The sequence below is a fragment of the Homo sapiens genome, chromosome 3 (assembly GCF_000001405.40).
Source record: "Homo sapiens chromosome 3, GRCh38.p14 Primary Assembly".
NCBI classification, from domain to species: Eukaryota; Metazoa; Chordata; class Mammalia; order Primates; family Hominidae; genus Homo; species Homo sapiens.
In genome coordinates this window covers 62068058-62092579 of record NC_000003.12, presented here as the reverse complement: position 1 = coordinate 62092579, position 24522 = coordinate 62068058, and the positions used below count along the sequence as shown (strand labels likewise).

The 24522-nt window shown below is 39.4% G+C and overlaps 1 protein-coding gene across 7 annotated transcripts in view; it reads right to left on the bottom strand.

Moving 5' to 3' along the window:
- Positions 1 to 24522, bottom strand: part of PTPRG (protein tyrosine phosphatase receptor type G) — a 736039-nt gene that overhangs the window by 205030 nt on the left and 506487 nt on the right. For all 7 annotated transcript variants that reach the window (XM_017006961.2, XM_017006963.2, NM_002841.4 and 4 more), the window contains one exon: positions 14322 to 14417. In XM_017006961.2, the coding sequence (XP_016862450.1) occupies positions 14322 to 14417 (96 nt within the window). The remainder of the gene's footprint in view (positions 1 to 14321; positions 14418 to 24522) is intronic.

Here is a 24522-nt window from a genome sequence, read left to right as displayed (position 1 = left end):
TGGATTTAGAGTCCATTTTCTTCACCAAGCTGACTCACAAGGAATGTCTTCATTCATTATCTCTCTGTGATAGGCATTGAGGATATTAACCCCAAACAAGCAAAGGTCCTTGTCTTTTTCTTTTTTTTTTTTTTTTTTTTCAGATGGACTCTTGCTCTGTTGCCCAGGTTGGAGTGCAGTGGCACAATCTCAGCTCACTGAAACCTCTGCCTCCTGGGTTCAAGCGATTCTCCTGCCTCGGCCTCCCGAGCAGCAGGGATTACAGGCGCCCACCACCACGGCCAGCTAAATTTTGTATTTTTAGTAGAGATGGGGTTTAACCATGTTGGCCGGGCTGGTCATGAACTCATGACCTCAGGCGATCCACCTGCCTCGGCCTCCCAAAGTGCTGGGATTATAGGCATGTGCAGCTGGACCCGGCCGGTCCTTGTCTTAAGGAGTTTACAGATTGTGTGTGTGTGTGTGTGTGTGTGTGTGTGTGTGTGTGTGTGTGTGTGTGTGTGTGTGTGTGTGTGTCCATGTATAAGGGGTAACCTCCCTAATGATAGGGACCACGTTTAATTCAGTTCTGTGAACAGCAGCTGAACCACCATATATGGGACACTATAGTGATTCCACAACATTGCAAAGGAAATGAACAAAGAAGGCAAGAGAAGGGACACAAGAGAGAAGGTAGGTGGGATGCTGTATGGGGGTATCTCGTCCCTTTAGACCATGGGGAACTCAAGAGTCAAGACTGCCCCATATAGAAGAGAATAACATCTCCCACTCAACTCCCACCTCCCCTCCACGGCAAACACTGGGACTAATGAAATAAATTGCCAGAACAGGTAATAATTCCCATGCCCTAGTATTCTAAAATCTCCAACGATCACATCCCACTGCTGGCATTGTCTCTAACCAAGTAGACACTAATAAGGAAGCTCACAGGAAAGGATACATTTCCAGCATACATAGGGCCACATAAAGGATCCCCGTTTTATGACTTTGACCCTGGAGAGGAACTCACTACTAGGAATTAAGCAGTTCCTTGGGGTCCAGGGGAAAATCTTATAGGGCCCTTTTACGTTCTAATGGCCTCACCACCATCTGGAGGCATCTGGGTCCATATCAATGTGTTACTTGTCTCTCTCTCAGCCGACTTGGCTGCTCCAATTAAATCTATTTCTTTTATCATCCAAGGTGTTAAGACTAATTACTTTAGCTCCTCTTTAAAGTAGTAAGAAAGACATGCAGATGCTCCTTGAGGAAATTTGAATTTGGTTACCTCCTCCTGAATTACTGAGTTATAGCACCAATAACAACTAGTTAAGACTTTGTCTCACAGCCAACTGCAATCAGATCTGAAGCACCCTCCAACAACATGCAAGTAGGCCAGGAGGATGTGTATATTTGACATACTGAAGCGATATATGTCCTGGGACAGACTTCATGGTATGGGGAAGTAATGGTTCAAAGTATTTCCTTTTATTTTGGCATTTTTTAACCCTAGTCGTTGCTAATTATCATCATCAACATTGTTATTTTAACTATTTTTATCATCAAAATGTTTTTTGGGTCAAAGACCTCTCCACAGTACTTTCACAGACATTATCTCATTTGAAGTTCGCAGCAAATTGGTATTTCCATTTTATGGACAAAGGGATTGAAGTGGCATGGGATTGAATAGATTTGTCCAAAGGAACAAGCCAGTAAGTGGCAAGTTGGAATTTATACATAGACGCCTCACTCCAACACCTCAGACATGGATTTCAGAATCAAAGGGACTCTTAGCATCTGGGGAAGGTTCTAGAATCAGAATCTCCTTCTCAGAGGGCTGTTATGAGCATGAAATGGGATAACGCACATAGAATGCTTGGCAGAATTATCAGAGGCGCTGACACATGAGCAGAGTCCGTAAATATCACCTACTGTTATTTTTACTATTGTTAATATTCAAAGAGAGTCAGACACTGAAAGTCTCTTTTCAGAAGACTTGGGATTTTACCTGTCTGATCTGTTTTAGTCGGATGAGGACATTTTTCACTTACAAAATTCAAAATAGAGAGAAACCACAAAACTTTGGTCTGACAGCCATTAAAAAGGGCAGCGGGGGAGTAGCTGTGCTACTAAGTTCAGATATGACCCTAAACATTCATCTCTTTTCCTAAAAGACTTAGGTATTGGCTTTGTGTTAGCTAGCTGCTTGCATTTCTGAAGCATCTGGCACTAAACCCTATAATCGGTTCAGTTTAAAAAAAAACTAGAACTAGTGTCTGGCAGCCACCTTTGAAGAGTGCCTAAAAATAGAAATAATTCACTGAAACCTCATTAGAATGGTGTTCAGGGATGCCAAGCTACCAGGGAATACGCTGCACAGTGTTGAGTAAGACCTCAGTAATATGGATGGAGAAGTCCCTGGAAGTGAATTATCCAAGAGTCAGAATTGAGTATTGTTTCATATGCAGAACATTTTATTATATGTGGTGCAAACAAATTACTGACAGTGTAATTTTAGAAGTATCTCTCACCAAATCCATTTGTGTGAACACATAAGAGTCCTCTGTTATAACCAAAGGGCTATATTAAATGAATATACCCACATAAAATGGGTTGACAATGGCCAGTTGATACATGGAGGTAGCAACTCCTCCCATTGCAATTTTATTTACAGTCCTGATGTGTCTAATAAAATGCCTTCTTAAAAATGCATAAGTAATTCTTGGCTTACATCAACTTTGGACAAATCCAAATTCTAAATACGCAAGACCTAAATTAGTTAGCTCTCTTCTATCATTTTTATACAGCTACCTAGGAATTTGCACACTCACAAAAAAATCATACAACTTAATACATACTCAGAGAACACAATGAGCCAAGAAAAATAGAATTTGCTGTACCAGCTTGTTGAGGTGAGTGAATGCACAGCTATGCTCATAGCTCCCAACAGACCCCAAACGGGGATTTGATGCTAAAAATTTTCTCAGAAGACACCTGTACAATCATAATAAAGAGATGATATGAGCACCAACTACTGTGTCTTTTACTATATCACATTGAGATTCTGACCTATGGCAAGTTAAAAGGCAGGAAGGATAAAATATTTCTATCATGGACGTTCTTGCAATAGACCGTTTCCTAATCCTTTACAAACCACAGGAGTTGCATTCTTGAAAAATATCACAATCAGCAAAACAGTGTTACCAAGATCAAGATGTTAACAGAAAAAGAGGAACATGGGGAAAATCATAAAAAGTCTCACACGGACAAATAAAATTAAGTTTCTTCCAAGTTTGCCATCACATCATGTAAAAATGGTTGGATGTATTTCCATAAAATCAGAAAGATCTGTGCAGACTGGTCTGTCTTAAAATATAATCTATGTGATGTACATGATATCTGCTTTGGGAATGTGGGTCACAGGGATACTCAAGAGACAGGCAGGCATTATCCAGAAAAGACAAAGAACAAAAGTTCTGGGCTTCAGATGGGTTGAGACATATCATAAATGTTAAGATGCTGTAGATAGAGAAAACAGTAGCTTCAGTGTAAACCCTGAACAACAAAATCAAAAGAGAATTGTAAAGTTCTTCTCAAATGGGCACAGGTGAGTAGCATCTGTATGCATACAGTTAAAGATGGTTAATAATCCTGGCCCTCAATGCCTAGATGGCCAGATAGTAAAAAGATTTCGCAAGAGACAACAGTAACCCTCTAAAATAAGCCAGCGTTTATCATTTTAAAATCCTGTCCTGGGAAAATCCTTCTATAATGCTAAGGAAACTGTGTAGTGCTGTAATTTACAGAAGCAGGTTCTCCTACAACCTCTGCAAGGGAGTTTCATTGATCTTCCTATGAGTTTTTTAAACTAGCTCTCGCTGATTTCAAGTTCAAAAGCATTTGTACATGCTCTTACCTTCTTACCTCTGTTTACTTTTCTACATCTAAGTCAATGTTCTATTAAATTGGTGCTTGTTTCAAAAATCACTGCAGTGTCTGCAAACAAATACCCATGTGGGTGCTTTAATTTAACAGGGCGGAGGTAAACCTAGGATATGTAGGAATAGGGCAGATTTAAATATTTTGGCATGCAAGTTTTGCACCTTATGTTGGAATCCCAGTTGTTCAAGTCTTGGTTAGCCAGGGACTACTGGAGTTCTTAGGACTGGGATTATTAGTTATTCTTATGGCCTTCGGCCTGCAGAAAATAACCCAAATAGCCCTAACTGACCCCCCTCTACCGAGATGAAGATATTCTGATATCTTCAGTCACTTAGCTAGTTGATGACCATAAAGCTGAGTTTCTTGACCTCAGCCAGCACAGACATTTTGGGCTGCTAACTGTTGGTTGTGGAGGACTCTCCTGTGCACTGCAGGATGTTCAGCAGCGTTCCTGGGCACTCTCCGTGAGATGCCAGCAGTGCCTCTACCCTGACACACCTAAAGTGTTTCCAGACATGGCCACATTGCCTGTGGGGCAAAACCCCCATTCCCTCCCTCCCCACTTCAGAACTGCTGCCATTAAAAGGTTAATACATTCAATTCAAAGTTCAAATCTTTACCCCATTCACTCACACTATGCTTACATAACCACAGCATTTATTCTATACTCTTTATAGCCTTTTTATAAAAGGGAGGAAACTAAAGAAAAAAGATGTCATCAAATCTATAAAATAATTACAGACACACAGCCTAAGATAATTTAGGATCGAAGATTGTAACTATGGACAAAAAGAAGAACATAATTTTAAGTTACAAGAAAATACCTCTTCAGCTATCAGCAAAACTGAGAGGCCTGAAGGCAATTATATGCAGATGACAATAACTGGGACCAATAATATATACTTCTCCCTCTACCCTCTTCAACAGAAAACCCAACTTTTCCCATTCAGTTCTTCACTGAGAGCACAGACCCTGGAGATATATGGTTGCCATTGAAATGCTGGCTCCAACACTTAGTGGCCTGTGTAATTTTGAGTAATTTATACTGAAAAAAGCTCCATGTCTCAGCTTCCACATCTATAAAATGGAGGTAATAATACCTTGAGGGGTCCCAGTGAAGATTAAGTGAGACACTGTATAGTAGTTGTCATTAGCATTTTACATCAGTTAAGTCCTCAGCAAATGTTAACTTTTATTAGTGGTGTTTGTATTCTATTTAGAAACATCTTGCAACTAATTTATCTGGGGGAGGAAAGAGAGGTAAGAACGGTTGTGAATATAAAGTGCTTTATGTCAGGAGTTCTCCCGATAAATCTAATCAGCTAAAGCATCCTACTAGGTCATATTCCAGGAAGACCAAATCTAGGAAAAAACAAAGTCGCTGGATTGAGAGTCACACAACTCAAATTCTTGGCTTGGCAGACTGCAAAGAGCTAGGGGACCACGGTCAATCACTTAACCTTTCAGAGGGTCAGGCCTGTCATCTGTCATAGTAAGGTTACTACAGAGTGCCTAAGATCTTCTCTGAGTTTACGAAAATCACATTCTGTGACTTACATGAAAACTAATGGCCAAAACAATTTTAAACTATCATTCAATGATGTACAAAAGCAAAGTACTTGGTAACGTCCTTGAAGTGCAATGATTTAATTTAAATAGATTTTCACATGGTCACATTCAAAGAATTCAAAGTCTCTTAATTATGTAATGCTTCGCCAATAATTAAATAGTCCTCTGTAATGTCCACTAAGAGGAAATTTGAATTACAGGCCATTTGCAGAAGAAGATGTGCTGAAAACACCTGATAGGCTATAAATTCAATGTTGTACATCCACAAATCTATTCCAAAACTGCAATTGAACATTAAGAATGACTCTGGCCTTCACTTAATGGTAAGTCCTATGAAATCAATTAGCTGTTAAAATAGTTTAATTGGAACATATGTATTTTAATTTTTGTTTGTGGATTAAAAAAAAGTCTTCTTAATCAACCCAAAACATTCTGAAATTGCACTTCTAGGTAATGTAGTGAAAGAATTGAACTTATATCTGGATAAAACCAAGGATGTGGAAAATGCCAGAAGGACGATATTCAAACAGCAGCAACTGGAAAGGAATAAATTAGGAATCATATTAGTTTACCGTCATTATCTTGTAAAGCAGTCTAAGAAGGAAGTTCTAAATAATCTACCACCATTCTCCAACACAAACTCAATTTTCTCAGACTCAAAAATAGTTCTTGTTTTTTTCTGGGGGTCTGGGGTTAGGGTGGGAATTTGGTAGATGGGTAAAATTACTAATTTATCCCTTCTCTCTCTCTCTCCAGAGTTAAAGGCCCTTGTTTCACACTGCCATCAGAACCATGAAAAGAAAAAAAAAAATTAAAACCATAACACGATAGAAAATTTATTCTTCATCAAAAAAAGAAAAAGACTCTTTTGGGATAGTTAAAAAGAATAAAAAGATTAATTTAGGTCACCATAAATAAAAGGAATGAATTATACTTTAATAGTGGTGTTCTGCTTTATACCAGAACAGAAGAAAAATGGAGAAAGAAGAGTCCAATTCTAAAATTTACAAGTCGAAACTTCATACTCTCAAACTGAAATATTTATCATTTTAAAAATATACATAAGATATAATTCTTGCATTATTCTCTTGAGATTTTATCTGCCTGACTTGATCTGTCCTCCCCTAGCTCCCAAAGATAAAATGAAGCTACTTTTGAAGAAAGAATTTTAAGGCCCTTCTGAAAACTTACTGTCCCTCAACTACTTTGAGGGCAGGACACAATTCTGAGGATACCTCATGATTTCCATGGAGCATGGCACAGAGAAGGTGCTTAAGAAATATGCAGAGTGAACAAATGAGTTAGCAAATGAATGCAAGAATGAATACATAAGCAAGAAAATCTTACATTGTTTGCTTAGAAAATCTGAAGGAGAAAGGGGGGAAAGAGGCAGAAAAACATAGACATGTAAAGAATAGCAAGAGCAAGAAAAAGTTAACAGATGAACTAAAACACACAGAAGCTAACTCATCAACTATCATAGAGGAACCCTAGTAAAGAAAAATGCAAGAAAGAGGCAGAGACAATGGGAAAGAAAATTAGCAAAATGATCCAAAAAACCCTCTTCACTCATCACCTAGTGAGATAAACGCATTTTATTGGGAAACCTTATAAAGATACACCCAGATACTCTTTACAGTAAAACAGTCCTTTAAGGCCTCTGAACGCACTATAGAATGGAGATGCATCCCTTTAACATGTTTGATCCAATGGAGCCCCAGGAAAGAGAGGTACCAACCTCAATGAATCGTTACACAGTCTTCATGTTCAATGTCCTTGACCAGCTCAAGAATCTTACACTTCTGACACAAACAGCAACCTTTTTGGGTGACGCTTACACAGCCATCTAGATATATGCTTTTCAAAAACCCAAATAATTAATAATGTGATAAAACACAGAGGTTTCCTTTAACTCAGTTTTACTTAGTATATATTTCCTGAGCAATAATTGAGGTCAATGCACTACTGTGAGGGCTAGGGAAAGGTGGGTTGGTGGTATACAAAAAGAAGAGGAACAAGACACAGACTTCAACTTCAGAGAGTTTATACTCTAGTAGTCTCAGGCTCTACCCCCTAATGCCTATTTTTTATAATTTGTAGCTAATAAGCTATTAGGCTGTCCCTTTCCAATCTAGACAATGGAGCCTAAATGTGTTTCCATGAAATTCAGCTAAGTATTTACACAATCAAGCCACAGTTTTAGCCGTGTGTAAGAGACATAATGATGAATGAAGACTCTCAAGCCTCAATGATCTCACAGTATTAATGCAGAAGAAAGCAAGTAAAATAACAGCTTTAATACAAGATGGAATGCTATAAGTCAGAGTGGGTCAAAGGAAGGACAGATCATATCTACCTATGGTGGGGAAGGAGGGGGAAGGTGAAATGCAGGGAAGTGGAGAGAAAGGCTTCCTCGCCAGCCCTGGATGGATGAGTCATCAAGAACTCCTCCTGCCTTCTCAATGTCTATAAATAATCCCAGGTGCTGCAATTCATTTAATTACTAAGCCTCTCCAGATGGAGAAAAATAATTAAGCAGTCTGTAACACCGACATGATATAAAGAATGGGTTCGCAACTTGCAAAGCATTTGAGTTCTGAAGTTTCCTTTCAACTATGAAAGAAGGGCAGAAATGAAAAGGGGGCAAATGACTCTACAGACCTGAGGGAAAAACCAAAGGACTACAGTCATATTCTGGGTAGAATTTAAATAAAAATGAAAACTGGTACAAAGGAAGGCAGCTCAACTCTCCCAGTAGAAGGAGAACATTAAATGAGGAAACTGCAGTAGAGTTGGTGACGACAGTTTGTCAAAAAGAAATAGTTTAAGAATGATGAATAAATCAGATGCAATTCAATTACTTCTTAAATGTATTCAGAAATATACCTATTGACTAGATCTCTGGATACAGACATGACAATCATTTTATATCTTTGTTTCTGATGCAAAGATTCAGAACTGACCACAGCCATAAAGGAGGCTGGAAACAATGTCACATAAGAAACGTTTCTTAATGTAGATGCTCTTGAAGAATCATGCATTTATGATTCCAAAGTTCAATGGAATTAATGAAATATAAATGAAATTTCAAGCATTCATATGACAATGGCAACTGGGTAATGAAATGAATGAGATGTTCCCCTTAAGATAATAAATTCAATAACAATATACTTCATGAAAAAACACAATTAACCAAAGATAAAGAACAGGAATACCAAACTTCTATGTGCATCTGACTGAAATCCATTAAGAAGGTTGCATGGTTAAAAGACACTTTGGTCCTAGTGAGAAAGTAGATGAAAGCATTTAATGGTGAAGAAACAGACGGAAGCCAAGGGAGAAACACCAGAACCCAATTCTGAGGGTGACGATAAAAGATTCTTGGCCTCAAAAGAACAGGACTACTTAAAGATAAGGTCATTGTAAGTATTGGGTACTCTTTCTTCTACCAACTTAAAAAGAAACCAATGAAATTGTTCTGTGAATTACAGTTTTTAAAAGCAAAGTATCCTTCCACAAATTGCCTAATTATTCCACTGATTCTATTTCATGTAAACCTGGGTTTTTATATTTATTTGTTTCACCAGATAAACCATGAAGGGTGTTATCAGAATCACACAATATTTTGAAACAGCATTTTAGGTTGCTGCAAAAGTAATTGCGGTTTTTGCCTTTAAAAGTAATGGCAAAGCCGGGCACGGTGGCTCATGCCTGTAATCCCAGCTCTTAGGGAGGCAGAGGCAGGAGCACAGCTTGAGCCCAGGAGTTCAAGACCTGCCTGAGCAACATAGTGAGACCCCGTTCTCCACAAAAAGGAAGAAAAAAAAAAAAGTAATGGCAAAAACCGCGATTACTATTGCACCAACCAAATAATAACTTCTGATATTTTATATTTTCACAGGCATTCAAATTAGGTTGACAGTAGAGAACAGAAGTTTTACTTTAACAAATAAAAAATAATTATTTTAGTTTCTGTACTTACATAAATCAACTAAACAAGTATTTATTCTCTTGAGTGTTTTAACAACAAATTCCTCTATCCCTTGACAATATTTTTATTTTAAATTTATGTTTTAAATCCTTTAAAAGCAAACTTTACTCTTACTTGTTCCCCTATGCTTTCGATAGGGAACAAACCCAAAGGTGATCTGCATGATCTAGAAAAAGGTGATCCTTCCTCCAGACACATTACTACCATGTGATGGAAAATTATAATATTACACTTAACCAGTGGCTACGAAGGGAGCGCACCTTCTAGAGCTGTCTGGGCCAAGATGTGGCTGCCCTGATTCACCGTCTTCCACACATGGAGGTTGTTCTTCCTTCCTTCACTTGTGCTCAACAGCAGACCTGGCTCTTCACCTTTTAGCACTGAGACTGACCCTCAACTCTTATCCGTTACCAAAATATATCAGCTGCCATTCAGAGTTACTGGGGTCCGGGCCAGTCATCATGATCTTAAGATCACGTTGATGTGAACACATGAATAAGACTGCTTGATGATTTTGTTGCAATGGGAACACACACTCCCTCCAAAGTAGCCACTAGACACATCTCGATTACTGCTACATCATCAAGACATTTTGTGTAAAACCTTCCATATTTAACTGAAGAAAAGAATCATAAACACTGTGTAAATTCAACAAATCATGCCTGTGAGCCACAATGGGGCAAAGTGCAAGTAACCACTACTCTAGGCCAATGTAAGGGTTCATTGGACAACCAGATGTCTGCTAGGTTTGTGCCTATTTTGGTGCTTTTGGGGGGCAACATTATGAACTTCATATCTAAGCACAGCAAAGGCAGACAGAAAGCCAAAATTACCAGGAATAATGGGCACATGTTGAGAACAAAAAAAGAAGCATGGATAGTGAAAAATTGAAATGGTAAAAAAAAATTATTCTAGTACATGAAGTAAATCAGCATCTGGACTACTGGTATCTCTGCAGAACTTGGCCTTGCCTAGGCCTGGGCTTTTGGGTCATTCTCTTTGTGTCACTCTGAATAATGAATATGTGGGTTTATAAGCACCAAGTCAGAGTATAGCCTTTTTACAAGTAGAGGAGTTCAACTCTTTTTGGCCGTTATTTGTGGGACCATGACAGTGAGGTTCTAGTGCACAGGAGAAGATTGTGTTTATTATGCTTAACACAGAAACTAGTACCACTCCTGGCATCGAATAGATGTTGAATAGATGACAAACCGTTCTTCAATACTAAAATGTAAGATGCCAGGTTTGAATTTGGAAATATACACCAAGATTTCTCTATTTTGGGAAGAAATATCAAACTCTCAAATTTATCATTCTTATAGAGAGCAAAAAAATTAAAAAATGAGATCTAACTAGAATGCCAAATTGAAGTAACAATTTTTTTTATTTGCATTGCATGACATAGTGAGAATTCAAGCATATAAGCACGTGTGTGCTTACAAGAAAGACAAAGGGGCCGGGCGCAGTGGCTGACGCCTATAATCCCAGCACTTTAGAAGGCTGAGGCAGGAGCATCACTTGAGCCCAGGAGTTCCAGACTAGGCTGGGCCACAAAGCAAGACCTTGTCTCTACAAAAAAATAAGAAAATTAGCCGGACATGGTGGCCTGCACCTGTAGTCCCGGCTACTCAGGAGGCTGTTGCAGGAGGATCCCCTTGAACCCAGGAGTTGGAGGCTGTAGTGAGCCATAATTGCACCACTACACTTCCGCCTGGGCAACAGGGAGATTTGTATCTAAATAAATAAATAAGAAGGACAAAGGAAGCAGCTTAATACAGCTGCTATCTATGTAAAATTATGTTTTTGTTTGTTTGTTTGTTTGTTTGTTTGTTTGTTTGTTTTGAGACGGAGTCTCACTCTGTCGCCCAGGCTGGTGTGCAATGGCGCGATCTCGGCTCACTGCAAGCTCTGCCTCCCACGTTCACGCCATTCTCCTGCCTCAGCCTCCCGAGTAGCTGGGACTACAGGTGCCCGCCACCACGCCCGGCTAATTTTTTGTATTTTTAGTAGAGATGGGGTTTCACCGTGTTAGCCAGGATGGTCTCGATCTCCTGAACTAGTGATCCGCCCGCCTCGGCCTTCCAAAGTGCTGGGATTACAGGTGTGAGCCACCGCGCCCGGCCTCTAATTATGTTCTATTTTTTATCATCTGACCTCTAATTTGTGTCTTTAGGATAGCAAGCCAAATTTAGAAAAGGACCTAACAAATGAAGTGTACATTAAATATCTTTATATGCAAACTAGTAGCGGTGTCCTCGAAATACTTTAAAAATTCAAAACCTAGATTTCACAGTGAGGTATTTTGTTGATTTGCACACCAATGTGTCTTGCCTGCCTAAAATTCTAATTGGTCTTATATTTAACAAGAGTTTATAGAGCTGAAAAAAATAGAAAGTGTTTGGGTAGAGCATGCCATAAACTAGTCCTTCCAGTACTCATAAAAACATTAAAAAGTTTTTTTTAAATTTTCTTTTAAGAAAGGTTCCCTATGAAGTAGAATCTTGGAGGTCTGAGCACAGGTTGGCATGACAGAGAAGGAAGCGAGGGTGCATCTGACGGCAGGGCCACAGGAGCAGAGGTCCAGCTGCATGAAAAGCAGCATGCTAAGGGAACGATGACAGAAAACCAGGTGTTAGCCAGGCATGTGGGAACTGTTTTAAGAGCAGTTTGTGTGGTCCCAGTTCTACCAAACACAAACCAATCACAGTTTAAGAACAGAAGGGGGCTGGGCGCAGTGGCTCACACCTGTAATCCCAGCACTTTGGGAGGCCGAGGCAGGCGGATCACGTGAGGTTGAGAGTTTAACACCAGCCTGACCAACATGGAGAAACCCTGCCTCTACTAAAAATACAAAAAAAAAAAATTAGCTGGGCATAGTAGCACATGCCTGTAATTCCCAGCTACTCAGGAGGCTGAGGCAGAAGAATCACCTGAACCCGGGAGGCGGAGGTTGTGGTGAGCTGAGATAGTGCCACTGCACTCCAGCCTGGGCATAACAAGAGCGAAACTCCATCTCAAAAAAAAAAAAAAAAAAAATGAACCGAAGGGGTCCAGACAGAACTCAAGTCATCTGCCAACAGGGCAGTGTCCAGAACATACTTCTGTTCATAAAAAGATAATATGTATACCATGGGGTCTCCATCCCACAGAAACATGGAGGGCTATAGATGCATACTATTTGGGAATTTCCAAGTGTCCGCTATGTTCCAGGAGCCATACTAGGAAGTCCTTTAATTACCACTGCAATCTACATGATGTATTAGCTGTTCTCTCTACTTCACAGATAAGGATACTGAGATTGAAAAGTTTAAATAACTACATTACCATTACACTGCAGAAATCATGGAATTCAAAAGCAAGTATCTTGACTCCAGTGAATAAGCTCTTAAAACACTATGCTCTATTGTGTTCATGAAAAGTAATGAGGAAAAAGAGATGTGTTGGAGAACAATGGGCAAATTAGACCAATACATAGCATAAACAGACAACTTCCAAAATACTTGACCACGACCCACAGTAAGCAATACACATTATATCATGACCCAGCATACACCCAGTATGCTTTACTGTGCATAAACAAATTCTATAAATACATTTACCTTTACTATATTTTACGGATATTTTCTGACTTATTTCCTATTCTATATTATTTTACGTCACTGTTTTTAAAATGCTGATCAGAACTTACTGAAATAATTTCATGGCTCAACAGTAAGATAGAACCCACTGTTTGAAAACCAGTGCCATAATCACCAATGGCAACCATTGTTCTTATTCTAGGTAGAATATCAAGCTTTTCAAATTTTCATCTGATCTCTCATTTGAGCCTTTATCTCCCTTGAGAAAAGGGAGAAATGTAGTTAAAAGGGAGAAAACTGTCACTCATGTGTCACCCATTGAAAAGGGTGGTGAAATTAACATACTCCAAACAAGAATGGCTCCACCTCAATGACAAACTTGCTCAAAAAGGCAGATGTCAAAGACGTGTTGGAGAAGGCTCTTATGTCTTTAACTTTCCTTTAGTTGTCAAAAAGACTTCATTTTCCAACAGAGACTCATTGGTGAAATGAACACCTTTATGTAGTCGCTAGGTCAACTTTAAGATTGAAAGACAAACCACAGATGCCTACTACTCAGACTACCTTACACACTAAAAAGCACCAAGGTCTCCTACAGGCAAGTTGGTCAAGGCACTCACTGATCAACACTACTTTGATTTGACTTATTAAAAAGCCTGAACAGCATTATTTTATCACAGGATGCAATGCTGGGATTCTAGGTGCAGAATCAACACTGAGTTATGAGCATTCATCAACACAATCATATTAAAAGAGAGGACAGAAGGATAAGAGTTCATAAATGTACCAACACAGAGATAGTTGCAACAAAAACTTTAGTTACTATGGGGATTTCTGAGAGGGAAAGAGAGGGGGTCTCTTTAGAAAAGTGACGGATGCTATTTATTAACTTACTTGCAAGTAATGTCAAATTTTAAAGTTGCTCAAAAAAACACCTTTTTTTTTATATCAGTCTCTTAATATGCTGAAGGAACCTGTTCAAAATGCTTCAGCGGCGAAGTAACTTAGATGATAAATGTGTTCTTCAATCTGTGCACCAGTCAAGTAGCAATAAAATCAGAGTAATTCATGCAAAAATTTTCATTATGTTTCTAAACATACTTATTTACATTTTAAATCACACATTAGACAATATGAAATATCTTTCATTTGGACAGGTGTGAACTAGAAAACAGATGCATTCATTAAACATGGAACAATTCGGCAAATTAAAAAAAATACTCAAAGAATTCTTTGAAGTACTTCAGCCACTGTTAACTTACTTGAAAAAATATGGCCATGGCTCCGATTATTCTGTTCTCAGAAATTGCGGTTTGAAAGCTGTCAAAGTCATCTGGATTGTAAAAGAAAATCTGCATCTGTAAGAACAATTAAAAAAATGTATTAGGAAAATTTTCAAACATAAATAAAAAGTTGAGAGAATAGTACCATAAATGTATATTCCCCAGTTGCTAATAAGATTTTGCCAAATTTATTCACCTGTTCATATTTTTCCTTTGCTAACTTTTTTTTTTTTTTTTTTTGAGATAAGGTCTCGCTCTGTTGCCCACGCTGGACTGCAGTGACTCAATCTCAGCTCACTACAACCTCCGCCTCCCAGGTTCAAGCGATTCTCCTGCCTCAGCCGAATAGCTGGGATTACAGGCAACTGCCATCATGCCCGCTAATTTTTGTATTTTTGTAGAGATGGGCTTTCACCATGTTGACCAGGCTGGTCTTGAACTCTTGACCTAAAGTGATCTGCTTGCTTTGGCCTCCCAAAGTGCTGGGATTACAGGCATGAGCCACCACACCCGGCCCTTTGCTAACGTATTTTAGAACAAACCCAGACATCATGTCATTTTACCCCTAGATATGTCAGAATATATCCCATCTTTTCACATAACTACAATGCATTCATGCCACCCAAAATAAGTAAAACCAATGCCTTCTAGTCCTCTAATAGCCAGGTCATGGTGAAATTTCCCTATTAAGAAGCAAAATTTTAATGGAGTTAACCACCTTTTTGCAAAAAGCTAACCCACACATTATTTTTCTTAATCCTCTTAACAAGCCCTGTAAAAAAAATTAGGGCAGAAATTACTATACTCAGCTATAGATGAGAAAATAGTGCTTCAGAAATTTGACGATAATTTGCCTACTATTACACATCAGAGAGAATCCAAAATCCATGTGCTTTCATCCCAACCTTAAATATCTTCTCTTACATTTGGCTAGCATTATGGTTTGTTTTTTTTTTTTTTAAACAAACAAACAAACTCACTCTCACTCTGTGGCCGAGGCTGGAATGCAGTGGCAGCCACCACGGCTCACTGCGGCCTCCATCTCCTAGGCTCAGTAGATCCTCCCACCTCAGCCTCCTGAGTAGCTGGGACTACAGGTGCATGCCACAATACCCAGCTAATTTGTGTATTTTCTGTAAGGACAGGGTTTTGCCTTGTTGTCCAGGCTGGTTTCAAACTCCTGGCCTCAAGCAGTCTGCATGCCTCAGCCTCCCAAAACACTGGGATTACAAGTGTGAGCCACTGGGCCTGACTAGAATTTCTTATTCAAAAAGCAGAACACAGGTAAGTCAACTCAGAATCATTATACAACTTTAATGCTGGCACACATTTTGACATTTAAAAAGATGCAGAGAACAGTTGGATGCAGTGGCTCACGCCTGTAATCCCAGCACTTTGGGAGGCTGTGGCGGGCAGGTCACCTGAGGTCGGGAGTTCGAGACCAGCCTGACCAACATGGAGAAACCCTGTTCCTACAAAAAATACAAAATTAGCCAGGCATGGTGGTGCATGCCTGCAATCCCAGCTACTCGGGAGGCTGAGGCAGGAGAATCACTTGAACCTGGGAGGCGGATGCTGCGGTGAGCCGAGGTCATGCCATTGCACTCCAGCCTGGGCAACAAGAGCAAAACTCTGTCTCGAAAAAAAAAAAAAAGATGTAGAGAACAAAAATGAACCATTGGGTATCCCCAGAAGCCTCCACACTGATTAAAAAACAAACAAACAAACAAACAAACAAACAAAAAAAACCAGACCTGGGTTCCTATTCCAGCTTCCTTACTTGCAAGCACCAGCTTTCTTAGGCATAAAGTCAAGTATTTCCACTTACTGGGCTAATTGTGAGGCTCAAATAAGTTAACGTAGTGTATAACATGAAGCACCATGGTTAGACCTCATCGATGCTCAACAAATCACCATCATCATCACCATATATACATATGTATTTTTTTCTAAGATAGGGTCTCATTTTGTCACCCAGGCTGGAGTGCAATGGCATGATCATGGCTCACTGCGGCCTTGACCTCCTGGACTCAAGCGATCCTCCCACCTCAGCCTCCTAAGCAGCTGGGACTACGGGTATACACCACCATATCGGGCTAGTTTTTATACATATATATATACATTTTTAGAGGCAGCGTCTCACTATGTTGCCCAGGCTGGTTTAGAGTAACTGAGCTCAAGCAATCCGCCCACCCTGGCCTCCCAACGTGTTGAGATTACATGCACGAACCACTGCGCCTGGTCATCATCATCATCATCATATTTTAAGATTAACATTTGGCAAACATCTTAACATTTCTAGTAAGAGTGTGATTCCACTGAACCATCTAGAATGATGGTACTCCTTACAGAAAACAGTATCTTCTATATAATTAGTTCTTTCATGACCTCTATTTCCCTACTTTTCCAAAAGGCGTGATGCTATTTTCTGTAATAGACTGAACAACCACACCCCAGAGAGATTTAGAGATTTGACGGTGAACAATAAAGTCCCAGAAGGAAAAGCTAAATATAGGTCAAAGGTAAACAGAGTTCTGATGACTGAATTAACTCAAATGCTAAGAATACAACGGCATTTCTTCTGTGAAGAGGGCAATCAGGTAGCCCAAATCAGGACACTTCCTAGGAAAATTCTGATACCTAAGTACATGGGAGAAGGATGGGTAGTTTTCTTTTGGAGAGTTTTCTTTCTTAAAGGTAATTCTTTTTCCTAAGACTGTAAATTTGCACCAATTCTGGCAGTTTCTTACAAATGTGTTGCCTTACGGTTTGGACAGCTTTAGACATCATGAATTTTTAGAGAAAAATCCATTCAATAAGGTACAGATTAGAATGGTTTAATATTAGGTGAATTGCTTTGGATACAATACTACTAACCCAAGAAAGAAACTTAACACAGGTGTATTCAGAAAATTACACTTCACTTTCTTTTTAAAACTCAGGCCCTCAAATTAAGTAGGTTCACAGAAGGCTTTCTTATACTTCAGCCCATGTGCAGGAGCAGCATTGTTTAATGCATCACCCGAATAGCGTGTGATACAAAATACTTTAAGACCTCTTCAAGGGCATTTTCATTTACAAGTGGGTAAAAAAATACATTTTTAGAAAATGTGTTTGGGTCACAGCTCCACCCATCTGGATAATAAAATGTCTCATAAAAAGGACAGTAGCACAGGTCTGAAATATCTATTTTTCTTACTATTTTTCTCAAGTTGTAGCCTAACAAATTACGGTAATATTTGAAGTGTCTAAAATGTAAGAATAAGTAGATGAGGTTTTGCTGAGTGAATTGGACATGCGTGAATTGAAACATACTTTGTCAGCGGTGGTGATGTCCAAGTTTGGACAGAGGCTGGAAACTATTTTCCAAAAACACCTTTGGCAGGTGTTTGGGGTAGCTACCATCAATTTTATCCTCAAAATGAACTGTGCCCAGAGCCCTCCCTTCAACATTCTGGGCTCTAGATCCCAGAGCCCTCCGTTCAATATTCCCCAAAGTCTGTTCTTTCTAGTAATGTTAATCTAAGTGATGCTCACTCTACAGCAATCCTTCTATGAAGAAACGTGGTGTACGTAAGCTGAAGAAAAGATCTGGGGCCAGGTGCAATGTGGCTCATGCATGTAACCCCAGCACTATGGGAGGTCCAAGTGGGAGGACTGGTTGAGAACAGGAGTTTGAGGCCAGCCTGGGCAACACAGTGAGACCTCATCTCTACAAAAAATTAGCCAGGAGTGGTGAGTGTAGTCCCACCTATTCAGGAGACTGAGGTGAGAGGATTGCTCGAGCCCAGGAGGTTGAGGCTATTGAGGCTACTGAGGGCTCCACTGCACTCCAGCCTGAGTGACAGAGCAAGATCCTGTCTCAAAAAAAAAAAAAAAAAAAAAGAAAGAAAAGAAAAGAAAGGAAAAAAAGAAAAAAAGATCTGGAAAATCCAGCAATAAAGGGATCTATTAACTGTTCCCTATCTCCTTTACCCAGTATCACCAATTATTTATACTATACCTCTTTTGCGCTCTCTCTGTATACACACACACACACACACACACACACACACACTCTCACTTTTTTTCCTCAATCATCTGGGAGCAAATGGGAGATAATAGGCCCCTTTACCACTAAATACTCAAGTGAGTAATTTCTAAGAATAAGGACATTCTCTTACATAATCACAGAATAATTATTAGAATTACCAAACTTCACATTAACACAATACTATTATCTAATTCACAGACCATTTTCAAGTTTTGGCAAGTGCCCAAATAAAGTCCATTACAGATCATTTTCTGGTTCTCAGTCCAGAACTCAATCTAGGATCAAACTTTGTATTTAGTTGTCCTGTCTTTTTACACTGACCTCTTCCAACCCCATCTTCATCCGGAACAGTTACTGAGCCTCTTTCTTTACTCTGACAGTTGGAAGCGTACAGGGCAGAAATTTCATAGAATTGAGGTTTGTCAGCTGGGTGTGGTGGCTTACACCTGTAATCCCAGCACTTTGTGAGGCCAAGGTGGATGGATCACTTGAGGTCAGGAGTTTGAGACCAGCCTGGCCAACATGGTGAAACCCTGTCTCTACAAAAATACAAAAATTAGCCAGGTGCGGTGGCAGGTGCCTGCCACTTGGGAGGCTACTTGGGAGGCTGAGGCAGGAGAATCACTTGAACCTGGGAGACGGAGGTTGTGGTGAGCCGAGATTGCGCCACTGCACTCCAGCCTCGGCAACAGAGTGAGACTCAGTCTCAAAAAAAAAAAATTTATATCTTCTCCGTGCATCATATCAGCAAGCACATTTATGCGGGTTTATCCCGCTATTGGAGGTATTTATCTTGATCATGTGGCTAAGGTGCTATCTATTGGGCTTCTCCACTATAATGTTATTAATTTTCCTTTCATAATTAAAAAGTATTTTGTAGAGAGATACTTTGGCATGAGATAAATATCCTGCTCCTCATTTAATGTTGACTCACTACTTTAGTATCCTTGGGTGACTTTCTAACTCCACCATTCCTTCTATATTCATTACTGGCATTCTAGAGTAAGGAATTGCTTTCCCTGCACTGCAGTTTATTCACTTATTCATTCATTCATTTACATCCATATGGACTTGTTTATTTTTGTTTCTATTTATTCAATCCATTATCAGATATCAGATTCCATTACTAACATTATGTATTTTGATGCTCAGATTGTCCCACATTTGCCCAGTAGGAGACCCTTCAAAACTATTTCCCTGTCACTCTGCCACGTTCTCCTATTTTTTTATTTTTTAGCAACTCCTATCAAGCACAGATGTTTTGGGCTCATCCTACATTTTCCCTGCCCTATCCCTAGAATTGGCCATTTAAGTCCTGGTTCAAAGGTTATTCGAAGACTTAGTAACTTTAACTCAGTATTTTCCAAACATAGTTGAAATAGAATACTTTGGGTTTGATTCTTTAAGAAAACTATATAGCTTAAAGGTCGATGAACCTATTCCAAGCAGGCCTCTCTTTTGCAAGGGAAGGAAAGTTGAATCAATCCTGTATAAACAGACATTCCTTCATCATGTAGAGTTCCATGAGATAGCAGATACTATATATGATATACATAAAACACACACACACACACACACACACACACACATACACATATATATTCTCAAGCACAGAAACAAACTCTATGAAACTCAATTAAAAAGCCACCGATAGACTGCTTGCACCAGGGCACAATCATGGGACCAGTTCTGCCAAATTTTTCAAAGTCGTAAGTGAGAGTCATTAGCCCAAATGGATCATTCAACTCTGCCTTGTGGAATGTCTTGACTGCAAAACCCTCCAGGTGTTTTTCTAGCCAGATCAAGGTGATGGATAACATAGAGTATCATATAGCATAATTTGACATTTGGAAAATGGAATTTTACAGGGGCAAAACAACTCACATTAAAAGCATCATCATCGACCAGGAAACATGTCCTAAAATACATATATGGCAAATGCCTGCATGAATCCCAATACTGTCAAGTAATGGGAGGGAGGTGAAAAGGACACTGTGAGTACAGGGTTGACAACAGTCAATGCTCCACTGTTGTAAGGTACTAGTGTGATACATACAAAGTGACAACAAAATGTCCACCTAGCTTCCCTTTCCTCCTGCCTTGTGCAACTTCTCCCTTACATTTAAAATAATTCCAGTTGTAGTTTGACTTTACAAATGTGTATATGTCTGGTTTCCTACATGTGTCACTGTCCATGTTAAGTTGAATGAATAGAAAGCAACAAATCTGAAAACCTGAGCCTTTGATACTTTTAATCATATTAAAACATTGTTAATGTTTTTCAAACCTTTAGTAAGTACCTACTGTATGCTAGGTACTGTACTATGATTCATTGGCACTCAGTGAGATAGGTATCCGTACGATTCTCATTTTATAGGCAAGGAAACTAAGGATTTACAAAATTTGTAATTTGAAATTTACAAAGCTCCTAAGGAAGGAAAGTGGGGTTGGGACAGAAAAATTATATTTCAAAATTGTCTTTCAAATCTCAGAGTTCAAGATCTTAATCACTGTGCTTCCTTCCAATTGGCAGGAGTATTGCTTAATGCCTATTGTCTGTAAGGCACCATGACAGATGAAGATACAGTCTGCACTTAGGAAGACTAAAATATCATTAATGAGACAAGGTTAACTTTATTTTTGAGTGCCAAAGCTGACTGAGTGTATCACGAAATAAAAGCATAAGGCAATGAGTGGCTCATGGTCAAGTGAGGCATCTATTAAACAAATACTACATTTATACAGGCAATGGGCAGGAGGGGGCATTTCCCAGAAGGTGTGTTGTGTGCCTACTATTATAGTTGTGTGCCTAAGTCAGCTCCCTGGTTGCTGTGATCATGGAAGCAAAAGGAAATGATCCCAACATGAGAGTAGAAAACCCAACAGTAATTTATATGCAGATTTAGAAAGCTCTACGTTTTATTTCCTCTCAAAAAGCGATTTCTCCCACGTGCCCCCCACACATGGTCCAAGAAAAAAAATCATGACGGAGTAAGTAAGGAAACAGCATGCAGATAGCTCAGGGGGAAGGCAATCTACTGAACGACTCAATAGACATTTCCAGGATACTGCTGGGGATTTTTATTAAAGTGGAAGAACACACAGGCAAAAGCTACAGAAAAGAACAGATGGAGATGAGACGTAAACAGGACGAGATAAAGAGGGTAACCAAAAAGGCAACAGCAGAATTAAAAATCACATAGGAGGCAGCAGACAACAGAACTGAGGAGGTGGAAATGTATTTTTCTTTTTTTTTCTTTTTTTTTTTAATTATACTTTAAGTTTTAGGGTACATGTGCACATTGTGCAGGTTACTTTGACAAACCTGGGAAACGTATTTTTCTAATCAAGCTTGGTGTTAACCTGCCAGTGGGAACGTGGTGGTGGACAAGAAACAGGTGCCTAAGAATAAAGATGTGAAGTGAAGGCAAAGTAAACATCCAAACACAGTGAATCTGCCAGTTCTGCTTTTTTGATGACATGCGTAGGATGATGACAGAGTTAAGCATTTTGTAAAATAAGCTCCTAATCTAACATGATTTTTAAATTATTTTGTAACGGCTAGTATTAAGGAGGCCAGGACGCACACACTCAACACACTACACTCTAACTCTAATTCTGCCATTGCCTGTAGACAGAAAGATGTATGCACGCAGGACGTAAGTCTGTGCAGTGCAAGGCTGTGTCCCTAGCACAGTGCTGCCCATTGTAAATACTAGTAATTTATTTCTGGAATGAATAAAATGAGTGGGAGCTCTAAGTGGCTTGAAGCAAGGACAGCCAAGTGATAAAGCCATAAACACTAACAAAATCCATGCCATCTCTTGGAATAAATAACAAAATCAGTGGCAAGGAGGGCTCAAGATATTGAAAGAATGAAGGAATTTAAACTGCTGGAGTAAATGCTCAGAAAGGTGCAAATACAAGCCAAAATCACTGTGAAATGGCCAAGTGACTCCAGGTATGGTTCTGCTAAATACAGATTATGTTACTTTCTCTTTAATTCACAAGAAAGTCAAACCATTGTCTAAGTAACTCTGGCCTAAAATTTTAATACTTCAACAAAAGAAGATCTATTCATTTAAATTATGGAGAAAAATGATAAATATACATTATACATATTACATTAAAATACATAACACAAACACTCTGGGTATTTTGTTTTATCCTATTGAACAAAGTTTTTATTCCTAGTTACTTTTTAAAAGGATCATTGTTATTTTTTGTGAAAGTATTTTTTACATGTGATTAACATTTAAATCAGTAGACTTTAGAAGTAAAGCTGATTACCCTCTATAATGTGGGTGGGTCTCATGCAATCAGCTGAAGACCTGAGGTCTTTTTAAGAGGAGGGAATTCTGCCTCTACACTGCAACACAGATTGAGCTCAGGTTTCCAGCCTTTGAACTCAAGACTGCAAGATCAACTTAGCTAGAGTAACTTAGCTAAAATTCATGAATTATAGGCCGGAGTTACTCTGTGCGTGCATGTGTGTGTGTGTGTGCGTGTGTCTGTGTGTGAGAGAGAGAGAGAGAGAGAGAGAGAGAGAGAGAGAGAGAGAGAGAGACATCGATCCTATGGCTCTCTTTCTCTGGAGAACCCTGACTAATACACCCCCTAAAATCATTACCGGTTTTAAGCAAACATACACAGGTATGTCTGTCTGTGTATCACATTATAAAACCATTTTGCAACTCCGTTACTTTTTGAGCTTCTTTGAGCTCTGAACTCTATCATCTTCTCTCACTTCTTTCTAACAGGCTTCTACCTTGGAGAATGTAGCCCCTGTTACAGCCCAGTTCACACTCTTACAGCTTACAGAAAAATATCCATAAAGTTGGCAGTATTAGATGAAGATCTAAGAGTATTTGCTATAGAATAAGACCGGATTTGTATATTGAAGAGCCTGGAGATTTCTAAGGCCCAGTGTCCCCTTCTGTGAAATAGAGGTAATACTCACACCTCAAGGGGCTGTTGTAATACATTTTCGCTAAGCGCTTGCTTTGGAGAAGTAAAAACTGATGAAACAGCTCTCATTTTTCTCTTACAATATGTCCTGATGACTTTCTTCATGACCAGAAGGGATACTTAAAGTAAGGTTCAAATAAACCATTTCCACAGGCTAGCCAACATCCCAAGAAGTCATGCCACAGGGTGTGGCAAAGAAACCAGTGTGTGGCATTCACTGGAAGAATATTTTTAGAGGAACCAAGCTCTGAAGAATAGTAGGTAGCGGGTATCTTTGCAGGCAAGGTGGCATTTAAATAAACATTCTCAAACACTTCCTTTATGCAATATCATTAATCACAGAGTACACTAATCCTTAATTATTTCCTGTTTTCATTTGCCCTGTAACAGGGAATTATCTTCAACTACTTTACGGCAGGAATCCCAAGTTTTGGGGCAGTAGAACCTAAGGTGCACACTAGGGCTATGAGGCATATACTTGGGTGCCAGGATGTTTTTGAGATCTCCTGGAGCCAAGGAGTTTGAGACCAGCCTGAGAAACATAGGGAGACCTTATCTCAAAAAACCAAACCAAACCAAAACAAAACAAAAACACTAGCTGGGCATGATAGCATAGACCAGTAGTTCTAGCTACTCAGGAGGCTGAGGCAGGAGGATCACTTGAGCCCAGGAGTTCAAGGCTGCAGTGAGCTGTGATTGCATCACTGCACTCCAACCTGGGTGACACAGTGAGACTCTGCTTCAATTAAAAACAAACAAACAAACCAAAACAGAGTAGGGCCGAGTTTACTGCCCTGTTTTGCATTCATTCCATTTAATATAAGCTACTTTAAATCTGACAGTATGGTCAGATTGAACTTACCTGCTTGACGGAGCAAGTTCCAGTGACTGGCCTTAACATAGAGAATCCCTCCAGCCTAGGGCCCAATAACTATTACAAGAGCCAGGCACTGCCCCTGCCTACCCTTTCCCCTGAGGCAGCCTCAAGCATAAAGCACTCAGGAGGGTTGTTTAAATGTGCCCGATTCTGAACGTTTTACATCAATTAATTCCTTAAATCAATACTACTATTTTCTAGAAGTGATACTCTTATTTTTCCTATTTTATACAGAAGGAAATTAAGGCTGAGATAGTAGGTCTTATCTAAGAAGTAATTAACACTGGGACTCAAATCTAGGC